At 37.6% G+C, this 19,446-nt stretch overlaps 1 protein-coding gene across 1 annotated transcript in view; it reads left to right on the top strand.

The window, feature by feature from the left end:
• The window catches only part of IPMK (inositol polyphosphate multikinase), a 76,378-nt gene that overhangs the window by 34,895 nt on the left and 22,037 nt on the right, over positions 1–19,446 (top strand). The window contains exons 3-4 of the mRNA NM_152230.5: positions 5,861–5,957; positions 16,683–16,855. Coding sequence (NP_689416.1) covers positions 5,861–5,957; positions 16,683–16,855 — 270 coding nt within the window. The remainder of the gene's footprint in view (positions 1–5,860; positions 5,958–16,682; positions 16,856–19,446) is intronic.

The following is a 19,446-nucleotide window of genomic DNA, read 5'->3' as shown; positions in this document are numbered from 1 at the left end:
GTTGTGATATCCCCTTTATCATTTTTTATTGCATCTATTTGATTCTTCTCTCTTCTTTATTAATCTTGCTAGTGGTCTATCAGTTTTGTTGATCTTTTCAAAAAACCAGCTCCTGGATTCATTGATTATTTGAAGGGTTTTTTGTGTCTGTCCCTTTCAGCTCTGCTCTAATCTTAGTTATTTTTTGCCTTCTGCTAGCTTTTGAATGTGTTTGCTCTTGCTTCTCTAGTTCTTTTAATTGTGACGTTAGGGTGTCGATTTTAGATCTTTCCTGCTTTCTCTTGTGGGCATTTATTGCTATAAATTTCCCTCTACACACTGCTTTAAATGTGTCCCAGAGATTCTTGTATGTTGTGTCTTTGTTCTCATTGGTTTCAAAGAACATCTTTATTTCTGCTTTCATTTCGTTATGTACCCAGTTGTCATTCAGGAGCAAGTTGTTCAGTTTCCATGTAGTTGTGCAGTTTTGAGTGAGTTTCTTAATCCTGAGTTCTAATTTGATTGCACTGTGGTCTGAGAGACAGTTTGTTATGATTTCTGTTCTTTTACGTTTGCTAAGGAGTGCTTTACTTCCAATTATGTGGTCAATTTTAGAATAAGTGTGATGTGCTGAGAAGAATGTATGTTCTGTTAATTTGGGGTGGAGAGTTCTGTAGATGTCTATTAGGTCTGCTTGTTGTAGAGCTGAGTTCAACTCCTGGATATCCTTATTAACCTTCTGTCTCGTTGATATGTCTTAATATTGACAGTGGGGTGTTAAAGTCTCCCATTGTTATTGTGTGGGGGTCTAAGTCTCTTTTTAGGTCTCTCAGGACTTGCCTTATGAATCTGGGTGCTCCTGTATTGGGTGCATATATATTTAGGATAGTTAACTCTTCTTGTTGAATTGAGTGATCCCTTTACTATTGTGTAATGGCCTTCTTTGTCTCTTTTGATCTTTGTTGGTTTAAAGTCTGTTTTATCAGAGACTAGGATTGTAACCCCTGCTTTTTTTTGCTTTCCATTTGCTTGGTAGATCCTCCTCCATCCCTTTATTTTGAGCCTATGTGCATCTTTGCATGTGAGATGGGTCTCCTGAATACGGTACACCAATGGGTCTTGATTCTTTATCCAATTTGCCAGTCTGTGTCTTTTAATTGGGGCATTTAGCCCATTTACATTTAAGGTTAATATTGTTATATGTGAATTTGATCCTGTCATTATGATGTTCGCTGGTTATTTTGCCCATTAATTGATGCAGTTTTTTCATAGCATCGATGGTCCATACAATTTGGTGTGTTTTTGCAGTGGCTGGTACTGGTTGTTTCTTTCCATGTTTAGTGCTTCCTTGAGGAGCTCTTGTAAGGCAGGCCTGGTGGTGACAGAGTCTCTCAGCATTTACTTGTCTGTAAAGGATTTTATTTCTCCTTCACTTACGAAGCTTAGTTTGGCTGGATATGAAATTCTGGGTTGAAAATTCTTTTCTTTAAGTATGTTGAATGTTGGCCTCCACTCTCTTCTGGCTTTAGGGTTTCTGCCGAGAGATCCGCTGTTAGTCTGATGGGCTTCCCTTTGTGGGTAACTCAACCTTTCTCTCTGGCTGTCCTTGACACTTTTTCCTTCATTTCAACCTTGGTGAATCTGACAATTATGTGTCTTGGGGTTGCTCTTCTCGAGGAGTATCTTTGTGGCATTCTCCGTATTTCCTGAATTTAAATGTTGGCCTGCCTTGCTAGATTGGGGAAGTTCTCCTGGATAATATCCTGAAGAGTGTTTTCTAACTTGGTTCCATTCTCCCCATCGCTTCCAGGTATACCAGTCAAATGTAGATTTGGTCTTTTCACATAGTCCCATATTTCTTGGAGGCTTTGTTCATTTCTTTTTACTCTTTTTTCTCTAACCTTGTCGTCTTGCTTTATTTCATTGATTTGTTCTTCAATCACCAATACCCTTTCTTCCACTTGATTGAATTGGGTATTGAAGCTTGTGCATGAATCATGAAGTTCTCTTGCCATGGTTTTCAGCCCCATCAGGTCATTTAAGGTCTTCTCTACACTGTTTATTCTAGTTAGCGATTCATCTAATCTTTTTTCAAGGTTTTTAGCTTCCTTACGATGGGTTCGAACATCCTCCTTTAGCTCGGAGAAGTTTGTTATTACCGACCTTGTGAAGCCTACTTCTATCAACTCGTCAAAGTCATTCTCTGTCCAGCTTTGTTCCATTGCTGGGGAGGAGCTGTGATCCTTTGGAGGAGAGGAGGCACTCTGATTTTTAGAATTTTCTGCTTTTCTGCTCTAGTTTCTTCCCATCTTTGTGGTTTTATCTACCTTTGGTCTTTGATGTTGGTGACCTACAGATGGGATTTTGGTGTAGATGACCTTTTTGTTGATGTTGATGCTATTCCTTTCTGTTTGTTAGTTTTCCTTCTAACAGTCAGGTCCCTCAGCTCCAGGTCTGTTGGAGTTTGCTGGAGGTCCACTCCAGACCGTTTGCCTGGTTATCACCAGTGGAGGCTGCAGAACAGCAAATGTTGCAGAACAGCAAATATTGCTGCCTGATCCTTCCTCTGGAAGCTTTGTCCGAGAGGGGCAGCCGCCTATATGAGGTGTCTGTTGGCCCCTACTGGGGGCTGTCTCCCAGTTAGGCTACACGGGGGTCAGGGACCCACTTGAGGGGGCAGTCTGCTTGTTCTCAGAGCTCAAACACCATGCCGGGAGAACCACTGCTCTCTTCAGAACTGTCAGACAGGGACGTTTAAGTCTGCAGAAGTTGTCTGTTGCCTTTTGTTCAGCTATGCCCTGCCCACAGAGGTGGAGTCTAGAGGCAGTAGGCCTTGTTGAGCTGCAGTGGGCTCCACCCAGTTCGAGCTTCCCAGCTTCTTTGTTTACCAAGCCTCAGCAATGGTGGATTCCCCTCCCCCAGCCAGGCTGCTGCCTCGCAGTTCGATCTCAGACTGCTGCGCTAGCAATGAGCAAGGCTCCGTGGGCATGGGACCCACTGAGCCATGCATGGGAGAGAATCTTCTTGTCTGCCAGTTGCTAAGACCTTGGGAAAAGTGCAGTATTTGGATGGGAGTGTCCCGTTTTTCCAGGTAGTCTGTCACGGCTTCCCTTGGCTAGGAAAGGGAAATCCCCCAACTCCTTGTGCTTCCCTGGTGAGGGACCCACTGTCCAGCCAATCCCAATGATGTGAACCAGGTACCTCAGTTTGAAATGCAGAAATCACCCGTCTTCTGCGTCGATCACACTGGGAGCTGCAGACCAGAGCTGTTCCTATTCGACCATCTTGGAACACCCCCCTCTTTCTTTCCTCTTTTTCATGCTTTCTTTCTTTCATTTGTTCCTGGGAAGGATAGATTTTTAACCAGTGATTTGATTTCTTAAAGTTCTTCAGATTTTTATTTTATTTGTTAATGTGATAGTACAATATATTTAGATTACTTTTTTTTTTTTTTTTTTGAGACGTGGTCTCGCTCTGTTGCCCAGGCTGGAGTGCAGTGGCGCAGTCTCTGCTCACTGCAACCTCCACCTCCCAGGTTCAAGTGATTCTCCTGCCTCAGCTTCCTGAGTAGCTGGGATTACAGGTGCATGCCGCCCAGCCCAGCTAATTTTTGTATTTTTGGTAGAGACAGGGTTTTGCCATGTTGGCCAGGCTGGTCTGGAACTCCTGACCTCTGACCTCAGGTGATCCACCTACCTCAGCCTCCCAAAGTGTTGGGATTACAGGCGTTAGCCACCATGCCTGGCCTAGATTATTTTTTAAATACAAATTGCCCTCTTGACAAAGCTTTTCCTAGTATTTAAAAAAAAAATTCTGCTCTATCAGTTGAGAGTCCCTTTTCTTTCCTAATATTGTTTGTTTGCTGCTTCTCTGTTTTTCTCTGTAAGCTTAGCTGCCAGCATTCTTGGAGTTCAGTGGTTGGGGGAGAGAGAAGTAAGCCAAGATTTTTATTTTTCAGGATTTTGAATTTTATTTACTCTCCATGTTTCAGTATAGTAACTCTGTCCTCAGCTCTGCCTCATCCCTGAGTTCTGAGATCCTTTGGTTCAGGTCTTGAGTGAACCTCTGTGAAGCCCAAACATCACTGCTTGGGTTAACACTTTTGTTTCATAGGCATGCAAAACTAAGAAGAATTCCCTTTTTTTTCCTTGAGAGCTCAGCTATGCATTTAAGAAAATATTTGTTATATTTTATTCTACATTTCAAGATAGAAAGGTTTTTAGGTTATCTTAGGCTGAGATGGGTGGATCACGAGGTCAGGAGATCGAGACCATCCTGGCTAACACGGTGAAACCTCGTCTCTACTAAAAATATAAAAAATTAGCTGGGTGTGGTGGCGGACGCCTGTAGTCCCAGCTACTCGGGAGGCTGAGGCAGGAGAATGGCGTGAACCCAGGAGGCAGAGCTTGCAGTGAGCTGAGATTGCACCACTGCACTCCAGTGTAGGTGACAGAGCGAGACTCCGTCTCAAAAAACAAAACACATACACAAAAAAGAAAGGTTTTTAGGTTATCTTGCCTGGCATGTTGCAGTAAACACCAGTCCCACTACTTTTAAAAAATATTCTAAATAAGAAGAGAAAATTTATCTCTCTTTCATTTCCATTCCAGAATTAAACTATGAGTAGTTTCAAATGAATATTTGTAATTTTTTCTGTGCCTTTACAGAGATGATACACACATATGTATCTTACTTAATTTCATAGACCTGCTATATATATTTTTATGTAATATGCCTTTTATCTTTTTCATGTATAAATATAGCATGGAGTTCTTTAGATCAGTACACAGAGATCTACTTCATTCCTCCGTCTTGTAATTAGCTCATCCTCAGCACTGCACCCACGGTCATTGTGCTAGGAATAGAGGGACGTTCAGGTATACTTACTCTAAATTACCTTGGCCTGGAAGTGACTAATATGAATCACTTCTAACATTTCAACAGGGGAATCTGGGAAATACAATGTACCACTTGGATATTTGGTCTGCCAAGAGTCTGCCACACTTGAGTTTATTCTGAAGAATTATGTTGCATACAACTACTTGACATAAATATGGTTTGGCATATATAATTAGATTCTAATACTAAGTTTTCGTAAGCATTTTACACCAGTAAACTTCATTAATTTTAGATAATTAGGTAGAGAATATTTAGGAAAGATCATTGGATAACATGTCTTACATGCCATTTTGTAAACAAAAAATATTCTGTCTTCTAGGAAAACTAGAATCTAGTTCTAGGATATTAGAATTTTCTAATATCTTTTAGCATTATTAATGGTTACAAATCAAGGAATTAAATGAGCAGCAGTTAGACTTACATTGTGTTAAAGGATTTTTTTTAAAAAAGATAAAAGCAAAAATCACCATGTAGATATAAAACAAATATGTGTTAAAGATTTGCTTTAACATATTATTTAATGAGGGAACCAGATAAATGTTAAAACTTGTTCAAAAGAGAAGTTAAAGAAACACACATTTATCTGGAATAATGGAAGTTTGATGTGAATTTTCATATTGCCACTACATTTCCTCCTCTCAGGGTGCATGGAGGAAAGTCAGAAGAATGTCCTCTGGCCAGAATTTATTTACATGTTTATGGACAAGAGTTATTTTGCATTTGCTATCAGTATCTATAACTTACAAAGTTGTAAAATAGTTCGATAGTAAAAGGCTAGAATTAGATAACCAAGAAGAGTGTACTCTAAATACATAGTTACTCATTGGAGACACACAGTAATATTTTTTGCTTGTTCCAAATTTACTTGCAATTGAAGCCATACCAGATGAATTATAATTCAACATAAATTTTATTTGAGAAATGTGCAGGGCAGTTACAAAGCATTGTAAGAATCTAGCAATGTTATATTTCTCTGTTTCAGGTTTATGCTGCTGACTGTTTTGATGGTGTTCTTCTAGAGCTACGAAAATATTTGCCAAAATATTATGGCATCTGGTCACCTCCCACTGCACCAAACGGTAATCTTGTCATAAAAATTATCTTTCAGTTTTAATTCATGAGTGTAGCTTCTTTAAAGGCCTTATGTAAAATTAAAATTTAACTGAGTATGTATTATAAAAACACAAAATATATATGTTTTGCTTTCTAATCTTTCTTTCACTAAATGAAACTTATTAATACTTTTGTTTTCATAACCATTTCTAAAATGGCATATACAAGTAAATGGCCAATCTCTTATAGTTGAATGGAAGCATATAGACTTAATACTATCTTAATTTGCAGATGTTCTGTCCTAATTTATTGTGTAGTTTCTTTTCCCATTTTGAGTGATTTTTTAAAAATCAAGAAAAATATTGTCTCTGCATGACTTCCTCCCAGTCTCTTATCCTGTTCCTTCATCCCTCACCTCCAGGCTTTAAATTACAGTCTTCTGAAAAGCACTGGTAAGTTTCATAGAGAATAAAATGACCTAAATAGGGCACAGAATTTCTCTTTTTTAAGATTAACTAATACCTGAAGCAGTATTTGCCCCCAGAAGGCCTTTGCCAAAACACATACAATTTAATTAAACAAGCAGCTTGACTGACTGACCATTGACAAAGGTGAATTGAGGGGAAAGGGCTTCAAACTTCAGTGGGTTTAAAAATAACCTATGGTCTTGTTAAAATGCAAATATGTAAGGCCAACTCCCAGACATTTTGTTTATACAGGTCTATGTTGGAGTGTAGTGATATGCCTGTTAAATAAAAGCCATGGGTGTTTCTGATGTGGATAGTTCTTGAACCACACTTTGAGGACAGAAAGAGAAGGGGATTCCAGTGTGAGCCTGCCTATTCCTTTTGTCAGTTCTTGTCTTCCTTTAACTTAATGACTTTGCGTGCCAGGTTTCACTAATAGGGAACCCTGGTATCTCTCTGTGAGTATCCTCAGCTAGCTGATAGTAAATTGATGGCTCCCTTGAGTATTTATGATTCCTCTGTACTTTAATTGTATGAAAAAAAGAAAGTGAGCCAAAGCTCTATTAACTGTCTTTTTTCCTTCCTCCCTTAATTCCTTCCTTCTTTTTTGTGGGCTTACAGGTCTTTTTAGTCCTAACTATATCTATTTGTCTATGATTCAGATCAACATTTTGCTTAAATTAGTTTACAAGTCATTATGATTGCCCTTTGGTCATCATTCCCTATATAATCTCTCGCAAACCCATTTAATGCCTTCCTTTTTTTTCCCTCTTTGCTGTAAGTGGAAGTTTTCAGGAATGCTATAAATGAGATAAAGGAAAGGAGAAGGTACAGTATCTAGATTCCAATGAACTTTGCTACTGATTGCTGTTTAATTTAGAGTAAATCATTATTCCTCAGTAAAGTGACGCTGAAAAATTAATGAAGGTTGCTGAGGATGGTGTTTGATTGAAAATCTACGTAATTAAATGCTTAGTTTAAAAGATTGTTTGGAAAGAGTAGAATAACTAGCAAATACAGCATAATTACTATGAATAGAGTATACAGAAAGAATTTGGATAAGAGAAGAAACATTTTAATTAAAGATAGCCTTTTTAGTTTAGGGTTACTAGCATATGATTTAAATAATCAAGGGATTGCTAGTAATCAACCTTTTTGGTCTTCAATACTATATAATCTTGAAGTTCAGCTATGCTAATATAGAAGGAGCAGTAACTTTGAAGTAAAAATATTTGGCCTCTATCTTGGTTATTTACAAATATTGTGAACTTGGCTAACTCAGTAATCTTTTTGAGCTCCACGTTTTCTTCTACAAATAGAAAGTAATACCACCAAGTTGTAAAGATGCATGTTATCTTATGTGAAAATATTTTATAAACTCTAATTCTCTCATTTGAAAATAAATGGAGATATTGGTGCTCCTAAGATGAGAGGATGAAGTGAGGAAGCTGAGTGAAGAGAGGAAAAATGTAAACTGAAGGGAAAAAAGGACAAGGAATAAAGTGTATATGATAACAGAGTGGTCCAGTAGTACCAACAGTTGCCTCAAGGGATTTTCTACTTCTTTCCTACTTTGTTAGCTCTGGAAGAAGTGGGACAAAACTGTTGGACCATGCAGATTGTTTTCTTTTGATTTTACTAGCAACTTCATAGAATCATCTTTCTGTTTTTATCCTTTTGATTGCAAATGAAAGAAATAGAAGACAGCAAACTTATGTACATGTTTAGCCCACAGGATCATGAAAACATATTTGCTTGAGTTGTAGTAGAATACTATGGTTTGCGTTACTGTGTTTTATGTAGTCTAAAACTAATGACATTATTTCCTGTTGGTTTTTGTTCTTGTTGTTTGGGTATCTTTTCTTATGTGTCCAGGGTAGAGTTTTATAAAGCTGATACTGTTTTTAATAATCCAAAGTAGTAAAATGCTGAAAGCCAACTTGTTCAACAAATTATCATATAATAATTTGAAGAATAAGAATGTTCTGACCAATGAGGTTTTTTCTTTTAATTTTGTTATGATAGTTTTATTGAGATATAATTTACATACCATAAAACTGATCCATTTAAAGCATACAACTCAGTGGTTTCTAGTATATTCGCAGAATTATACAATCATCACAATTATCTAATTTTAGAACATGAGCAGTGGAATTTTAAAAATATAACATTTGTTGGCAATTATCTTTGAACATTTCATGCTAGTTATATATAGTAAATATCTTTTGTACCTGTGTATAAACACATAAAAGGCTAATACATGTAGCATCAAAAACTGTTGGATATAATTATTTGGAGGGATAGAAAAGTATAACATCGAGTAGGTTTGAAAAAATTGAGAGTTTTCAAAATGTAATCTCTAGTCTGATTGATTGGTAGTTTTCTGGAGCTAGCTACTAGTCATGTTGCAGGAGGCATGAACTGAAACAAGCTGACATACATGTCTGTTGCATACCTCTTCCTTCACCCCTAATCTGGGGACCCAAGGTCTCTACTTATTATTCTTTCTGCTTTCAACTTGTATTGTTCTCAGAAATAGCTGAAGATTGATGTGGAAAAGAAAGGTCTTATTGTATTAGTCCATTTTCATGCTGCTTTAAAGATACTGCCTGAGACTGGATAATTTATAAAGAAAAGAGGTTTAATCGACTCACAGTTCTGCATGGCTGATGAGGCCTCAGGAAACTTAAAATCATGGTGGAAGGTGAAGGGAAAGCAAGGCACGTCTTACATGGTGGCAGGAGAGAGAAAGTGCAGGGGAAACTGCCACTTTTAAAACTATCAGATCTCGTGAGAATTCCCTCACTATCATGAGAACAGCTTGGGGGAAAACACCCCATAATCCAATCACCTTCCAGCAGGTTCCTCCCTCAGCACATGGGGATTCCAATTAGAGATGAGATTTGGTTGGGGACAGAGAGCCAAACCATATCATCTGTTTTTCCAGTTGGCTTCATAATCGAGCAGTGGTTCTTCATCTGGCTTTTCCTCCTTTTTTATGAGGTTTAGAAATCAAGATGGTAGCTGATACCTAGTAGATTTTCCAGATAGGATGAGGAAAACCTTAATGAAATTTGAAACCCATATTTTCGTAATTTATGAAATCAACAATATTGATTAAGGGGCTGTAAATAAGTATTCTTTCAATTCCCTAAATGCCCTCCCTGTTGCCTTCCCTTTAAAGGAACTAGTTATTTCATCTTTACTATTTAGTGATCTGTAGATTTTTCGAGATTTTTCTGTAGGGCTCTTTTTGCCTCTTTTTCTTAGGGTATCAAGACTAGCAGTAGAAAATTAGCTAAAGGAATTTTTTTTATACCTAACACTTATAAAACAATATGTATATTTAACTTACGTTTAAGATAGTTATATTTAATTATGTATGTTAAACAAGATAGAAAAGTTTCATTCATAGTAACCTTGTGTAATCTTTATTTTTAAATTTTTTAAAATTTCAATAGGTTTTTGGGGGAATAGGTGGTGTTTGGTTACATAAATAAGTTATTTAGTGGTGATTTCTGAGATTTTGGTGCACCCATCGCCAGAGCAGTGTACACTGTACCCAGTGTGTAGTCTTTTATCCCTCACCCACCTTCCGCCTTTTCCCCGGAATCCCCAAAGTCCATTGTATTGTTCTTATGCCTTTGCATCCTCAAAGTTTAGCTCCCACTTATGAGTGAGAACATATGATGTTTGGTTTTCCATTCCTGAGTTACTTCACTTAATATAATCTCATACTATCATCAGCATCATGAAATACATAAATATTTTGGGCATGAAAACAATATCCTTGGTAAAGCCACAGAGTGATCTTATGTAGTCTACTTAAAACAGCAGGAAGTGTTATATTTCTGAACACGTGGTATTTTCATGATCTTTACCTCAGAAAAATTAAGGCACTATAGAAATTCTTTATATACTTTCTATAAATTAATAAGTGATAGGTTATTAGCCATAGCCTCTTAAATGTAGCTTTATTTCTAAACATAGTTACCTCTTGAAATGAACTCCACATATTTATGAAGAGTAGATATCCTTTTATTTATTATACAAGTACCAGCACTAAGCTTTACAGACTCTCTGTCTTAGATCTGGGGTTTACAAGTGCCAGTCCTTAGACTTCTGCAGGACTCACTTCATAAGAGTCCTAAATAGAGTTTCCAGAGTTATAAAAGTAAATCTAGTTAATTGTGCTATCTTTATGATACACACACGTCTATGAGAGGTATATAGATATGTAAAATTAAGCTCTATTCTAATATTCAAAATTCTGCCTTTACTTGTAAACTACATCATGTGAAATACTCATAATTATTTTACAAGATATTTTCCAATCATCATATTAATATAGCCTAATTTATATTCTTGACCTTGAACAGAGTGAACTTAAACTATTCCAGATAGAACACATCTATCTTACCAGGCACATTGGCTCTCACCTGTAATCCCAGCACTTTGGGAGGCGAAGGTAGGAGGATTGCTTAAGGCAGGAGTTCAAGACCAGCCTGGGCAACATAACAAGACTCTATATCTACAATAAATTTTAAAAATTAGGCCAGGTGCAGTGGCTAATGCCTGTAATCCCAGCACTTTAGGAGGCTGAGGCGGGTGGATCACCTGAGGTCAGGAGTTCAAGACTAGCCTGGCCAACATGGTGAAACCCTGTCTCTACTAAAAATACAAAAATTAGCTGGGCATGGTGGTAGGCACCTGTAGTCCCAGCTACTCAGGAGGCTGAGGCAGCAGAATTGCTTGAACCCAGGAGGTGGAGGTTGCAGTGAGCCAAGATCACACCACTGCACTCCAGCCTGGGCGACAGAGAGAGACCCTGTTTCAAAAATAAAATAAAGAGAAAAGAAAAGAAAAAAAATAAAAATTAGCTGGGTGTGGTGACATGCACCTGTAGTCCCAGCTACTCAGGAGGCTGCAGCGAGAGGATCACTTTAGCCCAGGAGTTTGAGGTTGCAGTGAGCCATGATTGTACTGCTATACTCCATCCTGGGTGACAGAGTAAGACCCTGTCTCAAACAACAATAACAACAGAAATCTATCTTATTTTTAGTTCATTATATTTTTTTGGATCAGTCTTAGAACAAATTTCTTATTTGCTGTCATCTTTTTTATGTTATTATTGCATCAAAGAAAACCTAGCTGTAGTAATCTTTACTGTAGTAATCTTTACTATCTATAACCTTGACTAATCTGTAGCTTTTTCTTCAGAATTTAAAAAAAAAAAAATAGGCAAGCTGAGCTTATGGATGATGGGGGAAGGAAGGATGAAATAGTAGTCTCAGAGGATGGAAAAGTGAGGAGATTTGGGAAACAGATCATGATAGTTGAGCAACTTTAAGGGCATACTTGAGGTTAGTGGTCAGATTGAGTGTGTTTTGCAGTCATGACACATGCAAAAGAGAGTTACTTTAACTTGAGGTGAAATCAATATGTAATAAGTAGGTTTATTACATATAAGTATTCTTTTTAATATAACTAAAGGCTAAGGCTTGATATTAGCCTGAGGGTTGGAGAATATCCATTATCAAGTGCATAATTGAGTTATGAATACATCTTTTAATTTTGTGTGTATTATGCTTGTCTCATCTGGAAGGGTAAGAATAGACTCCAGGGAATCATCTTCTATTTTTATTTATACTGAATATCAAAGTTAGACCTGTACTCATTGGTGACCTAACATGGTTAGCAGGTTTTAATACTTATCAGTGACTTACTTGTTTAATATTTATATATACTTAGAGGTAAAATGAATAAATATTCAGTGAGTACCAAATACGTAGCAGCAATTATGCTAAGTGTAATGCGATTTCAACTCTTCAAAAGCAGCTCTATGAAGGCAGGTTTTTATCTGTTTTCTTCACCTGTGTGCCTTGACAGTAATTATATATGGAATGTATGAAATTTTATTTTGGAGGGGATATGGGAATGTGTAACCTGCATTTATGGGATGAGGACTGACACTATGCTAAGTGCTTTACTGTATATTATCTCATTTAGTCTTCTTAATATCCCTGTGGTAGAGTCTGTAATTATCTGCATTTTACATATAATTGAGGTTTTGAGAAGTGCTCCTGAGGTCACAGGCTAGCAAATTATAGAGTTGAGATTTGAGCCTCCTTTTTCTTCTTCTAAAGCAGTTGCTTTAAACTTTATCATCTCAGTTAAGATTCTTTGGGCACAAGTTATGGAAATGAACTTGAACATGATTAAGCAACAAGGAAAAGTTCTTATAAGGATATGAGGGTGTCTTATGAAAGCCAAGGGCCATGCATCTGAGTCTAAGATGGGACTGGAACTAGAATCTGAACCCTATCAAAGCCCAGGGAGATCTCTCTCTGCATATTTACTTAACCCTTCCTCTTCTCTCCTCTGCCTTCCTTGCTATCCACACCTCTCCCCTCCCTACCAAGGGACTTACATGTTACAGTACCAGTCACCCACAGAGGTCAGCAACAGGTTTTCTCTGCATTCCATTTCCAAATTGGCAAGACTGACCAAGCTTGTATCAGATATTTGCTCCTGCCCCAGTCAGTGACTGTGGGCCATGGGCTGGATTCCCAAAGTATGATGGTGTTGGCAAAGGGACCACTTCTGTAGGACTGAGGATAGTTCTTGAGCTGGGCAGACATGCTAATGACAGAGTGACATTCTATCTAGTCAAGTGTTTTTAAAACTTCTTTGTCTAAAAGGAAAAAAACAAGAAAACACTGGGCCTTTAGGGCATGGGGGGAATAAACTTCTTTGTCTATGATACGTAATAAATACATTTTTACATTGCAACTCAATGTTTATAAGACAGACCAACCCAGACAACAATACTTAGTCTTACTATCTGTGAGATAGTCTCATATATTCTCTTTTCTCTTTCATTTAGGAAACTTAGTTACAACCTATTAAGTTGAATTCATAATCCAATGATGGGTTGTGGCCTAGAAATGGAAAAATACTGCTCCACTCTATACCCAGAGGGGCCTAGCCGAAAAGGTGTCCTTTGTTAATCCAGAATTTGGCATTGCTTTGTAAGTGAGGCTGCCTGTAGTAAAATGTCTTTGGTCATTTAAGTAACTGAGTCTCAGGATTGATCTACCTTGAATTAAACTCTCTTCTAGGGAAAGAATTTGCTAATAGCATTTTTCAGGGTGAATTAATAATCAGATTTATTTCTATTAATGACAGCCTGTAAATCAGTAAAAATCTCAATGCTCAGATCATGCCCTGTTTTTCTATTTACCTTTTTCAAAAGCACTTGCAGTCAAGTTGTGAAAGACATGGTATCGCATTCTTTCATAAGAATTCTGCATCTCTAAAGCAGGTTTTGATGTTTATTTTTTAACTCAGAGGGAAAGATAGAAATGAGAATCTCAAATTCTTATTTTCACTTAAAAAAATGTAAGATTAGAGAACAGAAAGAAAACACCAAACCACTCTTCACTAGGCTTAACTTATGGTTTTATTTCTGAAGGCGAATAAGAAATAATTTAGCAGTTATTTGGTAATTCCAACCATATGAAACATAAGAAGGACCTGAAAGTAAAGTAAAGAAAAACACATTTGGATAGTCTAACAAAATATCAAATAAAACCCATGATATTCATCCCTATTTACTGAAGGGGTGCCTCAATTTATTATAGTGTGAGGAAGGCCAAGTCTAAAGTTTCACTGGACAATAGGAATGGGAAGGGCAAACATTCATTCAGCAAACATTTATTGTATTTCCACTATATATAGAGTTTGCATTTGTATTTTCCTCCTTTCAAAAAGAAAAAGTAAGAGATAGGAGATTTTATTTCAGAGTTGCAAAGCCTCTACCCTAGCTTCTCTTATCTTTATCTTATCATAAAAAGTTTGTTGTTTGTTTTTAATCACTGTCAGGTTGACAGGTAGAAGACACTAACCCTACAGTGAGATATAGATGCTGTGACATTTAGCTACGTTCTCTCACTATCTTTATACTCCCATATACAACTTGACCCCAGTAAGATTTCTGGAGTCTCTTGAGTCTAAATTAATGATAATAAATTTTTGAATGCCAAGGATCTACTGTACTATGTATTACTATCTAATTAGCTTTATTCTGATATTTGAAATTCAAGTCTTTTTACTGAAATTATTGAGCAGCCCTAGAGTGGGGCTGGATCTGTTTTCTTCCTTTTTGCTTAAGGTGGTTGGAGATGGGAGGAGAAAATCTGAAGGTAAATGTCCTGTGCTTCTTTCTTCTCTCATACCATCCATGGTTATCTTTTAGACACAGAAGCTTGGGTGTATTCCAACTCCTTGATCAGGATATTTCCACTTGTCCCATTAGTTTTCACAGACAGCAGTTTCATATCTCTGTCAAGATCTTTTGTTTTCTCTTATCCTGAAATTGTCTGTCTGGGAAAACCCTTCTTTCAAGTGTGGAAGGCTCCTTGGGTGTGTCAGTGCTTCTCCCTTGGACTGCAGTAACTTTTTTGTCATATTTGGGCTTAACTTCACTTAGTTCTACAGAGTTATAACCCTGCTCTCTTCTTCTTTGACTAAAGCATAAAAAGTATCTCTTGTCCTTTGAAGGAGAAGATTTATTCCTTTTAAATCTGAGGGGCTTAAAAATTTTTCAAGCCCTAACTGGGTTCTCACTTTTGTTTGAGCATAAACTTCTTTATTGTAATTCAGCAGCTATGCTAGTCTTGGTGGAATGGGGATAATGAAAGGACATCAGAGAGTAAGGCTTCTCTTACCCCGGTACTCTTTTATTTAATTCAGAGAAAATAAACACCTTCTCTAACCTTATTTGTCATGTTCACTGATAGTAATCTTTTCTGTGTTTGAGGAGAAATACTTCTTGTTACATTCCTAACTAAAAAATGAGTCATGATCTCATTCAGAACTTTGAGATGATTCTTTTTTTTTTTTTTTTTTTTTGAGATGGAGTTTTGCTCTTGTTGCCCAGGCTGGAGTGCAATGGCGCGATCTCGGCTCACCACAACCTCTGCCTCCCAGGTTCAAGCCATTCTCCTGCCTCAGCCTCCCGAGTAGTTGGGATTACAGGCACCTGCCACCATGCCTGGCTAATTTTGTATTATTAGTAGAGACGGGGTTTCTCCATGTTGGTCAGGCTGGTCTCAAACTCTCGCCCTCAGGTGATCCACCTGCCTCGGCCTCCCAAAGTGCTGGGATTACAGGCGTGAGGTACCTCACCTGGCCGAGACGGTTCTTTAACCCAGGAAAGGAGGGAAGAATTTCTTTCCTTACTGTTTCCCTTGGGACCTGGACCCTGGCTTTCAAACTAAAACTAAAAGCAGGTCAGCCATGTATGATAACTGGGGCTTTTATAATACTGTATTTGAATCTCTATTTAATTTTTTTGTGGAAAGATGTGTGCAGGATGCCAGCATGATATACAGAACAACTTTTGGGGAATGCCTGTGTTCTAAAAAAAAAAAAAAAAAAAAAAGCAAGATGGGCTGGGCATGGTGACTCACACCTGTAATCTCAGCAGTTTGGGAGGCCGAGGCAGGCAGATCACTTGAGGCCAGAAGTTCGAGACCAGGCTGGCCAACATGGCAAAACACCATCTCTACTAAAAATATAAAAATTAGCCAGGCAGTGGTACACGCCTGTCATCCCAGTTATTTGAGAGCCTGAGGCACAAGAATTGCTTGATCCTGGGAGGCGGAGGTTACACTGAGCCAAGATTGGCCACTGCAGTCTAGCCCAGGCAACAAAGCAAGACCATGTCTCAAAAAAATAAAAAGCAAGATTCGTGTTTTTCCTTTGAAACTGGTGAGACTTGAATGTATATTTGACAATTATCATCATTTGGATAGGTTTACCCTTTCTTAATCTGTACTTCTGTTATATTACTCTGTGGGAAGGATTTATTCCTATTACTAATTTTAAATGAATCAATTTTTAAAAATTATTAAAATACTAAGAGTTCTGCTGAAACATATGGCATAAATTGTATTCACAAGGGGAATGCATTCTGGAAAAGCTTTTGAAATGATCCCATTGCCTTTTTAATATTGTTGGAAACCTCGTATCTGCTGTCTTTTGCTTGTGGTTGAATTTATTTAATTCACCTCCTGCAAGAGCTTCTCTGTGATGTTTATACTTGTTATAAATTTGTTGTTTAGGTTTTTTTTTTAGGTAGAGTTAAGAATAATTATTGACTTTACATTTATTTTAACTTTTTTCTCTGTTTTAGGATTTTCTCATCTTGTTTTTCCCTGGCAAGTACTTGAGTAGTAATATGTTTGCCTATTACTAATTAATATTTTTCTTTAATAACAGATTTATACCTAAAACTGGAAGATGTGACCCATAAATTTAATAAGCCCTGTATAATGGATGTAAAGATAGGGCAAAAAAGCTATGATCCTTTTGCCTCATCTGAGAAGATTCAGCAACAGGTCAGCAAGTACCCATTAATGGAAGAGATTGGGTTCTTGGTGCTTGGCATGAGGGTAAGAGTGCTTATTAGTATAATATGCACATTTCTCTGTACATGTTCTTCCCTTGAAAATTATGGATGTCATTGTAGTACTAATATATCAGAAAATAATGTATTTTGGAATTGAGTTGTCTGTAACTCCCCAATGTGAAAAGTGAGGGCAAGGATTAAAAAATTTTTTTTTTTTGTTCACTGATATATGGTCAGTTTCTCTGGTTCGGGAACATAGTAGGGTGATTGATAAATAAATGGATGGATGGCTGAATCTCAGGACTATAATTCTGGTAATTTTGTTTTAAAGAAGTCTTAAATTTAGGTGCAAGCAAATATTAAATGTAAATGTGATATTGTTTATGATTTTCCCATGAGAAAAGTGCTAAATATATATATTCAGTCATTTTTCTGCATTTTCAAAATATAAAAGAAATTTAAAATGTGGTAATTGTGTGGCCGGGCACAGTGGCTCATGCCTATAATCCTAGCATTTCAGGAGGCTGAGGTGGGTGGATTGCTTGAGCTCAGGAGTTTGAGACCAGCTTGGGCAACATGGCAAAACCCCATCTCTACAAAAATGCAAAAACCAGCTGGGTGAGAGGTAGCGTGTGCCTATAGTCCGAGCTACTCGGGAGGCTGAGGTGGGAGGATCACTTGAGCCCAGGAGGTCAAGGCTGAAGTGAGCCATGATCATGCCACTGCACTCCAGCCTGGGTGACAAAGTGAGACCCTGTCTCAGAAAAACAAACAACGCCACCCCCCTACCAAAAAAAAAAAATAGGTAATTGTTTCAGACTTTTGGGGTTAAAACAGTTGTTTCATTTTCTCACAATTCTGTGAATTTGCAATTTGAGCTAGTCTCAAGTGTGCAGTTCTTTTGCTGATCTTATTTAGGGTTCCTTCTGCAATCATCTGATGGTTCAGCTGGGTATAGATGGTCTAAAATGACTCTCTCTCATTTATTTGGGTTGTATGTAAAACCAGAGAATTGTTCTTGTGTCAGGAAGTTGGTACTGTTGGCTGGGTCTTTTTCTTTGTGGTCTTATCTGTCAGAAGGCTAGCTTGGGCTTTTTAATTTTGAAGTACCACATTCTAAGAAGGAGGAATATAAGGGTTCTTAAACTCTAGGTTAGGAATTTATTTGCTGTCACTTCTATGAAATTCTATAGGGCAAAATCTAGTACAGGGCTAGCCCAGATTTATGGGGCGAGAAAACAGACTCCACCTCCGATGGTAGGAAAGGCAAAGTCACAGCATGAATAGCAATGTGCACAGGGTGAGGAGAATTTTGTTGAGGCCATTTTGATAAAAAAGAGAAAAAACAAAGTAATGTGGTGTAAAGTCCTCTAAACAAATGCTGCATCTTCTAGATGCGTGAAGGTAAAATTTGTGGATATACCAAATACTTGTTTATCTATATGTAAGCATAATGGGTAGTTCTGAAATTCATGTAAAATGATATATGGATCTTCCTTTTTGAGTTTTAAACAGAAGAGCTAATAGGAAGCATGATAGATAAATTGTCATTGTGATGGTAATAGCAAAATTGAATTTGATATTTGGGTTATGTATAAAACCAGAGAAATTGTTCAAGCAGTTATTTCATTTTAGAAAACTATAATTAAATATGAATGTATAGAAAAAGAAAAAATGGTAATGGAATACAGTTAAAACAAACAGGAAATAAACATCCCATAGGAATCTGACTGGGCAACTATTTAAGCCTCCACTGTTTTCAGATCTCTCACCCTCCCTCTTTCCTTCTGACTTTTAGCAGATGACTGCTTTCTGCTTTAGAAAAAATAAAAATCATCCAACAGGATTTCCCTTAATTTCTTGCTAACAGATGCACATGCCTTACCTGCAGTTGCTTTTATTCCCTCATTGTTCTTTCCCGTCACATTGAAGAATTTTCCGTCCTCCTATCTAAGGACAGTTCCTCTGTACGCCCTCTGAATCTCATTCCTTCTTATCTCTTCAAGAACCTTATACTATTGATTTTCTCTTATCTTTCTTATATTTTCAACTTCTGCCTCTTTACTGGCTTTTATCATTTTGCTTTAAATATCTTCAAATCACTGTCAAGTTTTTTAAAAAACAAAACATCAAAACCCCACCTTTAACCTGCTTTGCTTTCCAACTGCAGATTTAGCTTGTCTCGGCTTTACAACCAAACTCGTTATTTCTATTTCCCTATTTCCCATTCAGTATTTGGCTCATTCTAATCTGGCTTCTGCCCCATCATGCTAATGGATTAGCTCTTCATTAAGCACCACCATGCCACTAATTCCAAATGGCATTTTTCATTACCTTACTTTACTTTGAAAAGTAGCTTTCAATGCCAGCCACACCCTCCTTGAAACATTCTTCTTTGAATCTATGGCACCCATCTCTCTCCTGGTTTCTGCCTAAGGCCACTTTGCAATCTTCTTTGCCAGCCCATTTCTATTTTTTCTTTTTTTTTTTCTTTTTTTTTTTGAGACGGAGTCTCGCTCTGTCGCCCAGGCTGAAGTGCAGTGTCGCATCTCTGCTCACTGCAAGCTCCGCCTCCTGGCTTCATGCCATTCTCCTGCCTCAGCCTACCGCGTAGCTGGGACTACAGGCACCCGC

This window comes from Homo sapiens, chromosome 10 (assembly GCF_000001405.40).
Source record: "Homo sapiens chromosome 10, GRCh38.p14 Primary Assembly".
NCBI lineage: Eukaryota > Metazoa > Chordata > Mammalia > Primates > Hominidae > Homo > Homo sapiens.
The sequence above is the reverse complement of the archived record's forward strand: the minus strand, read 5'-3'. Positions and strand labels throughout refer to the sequence as shown.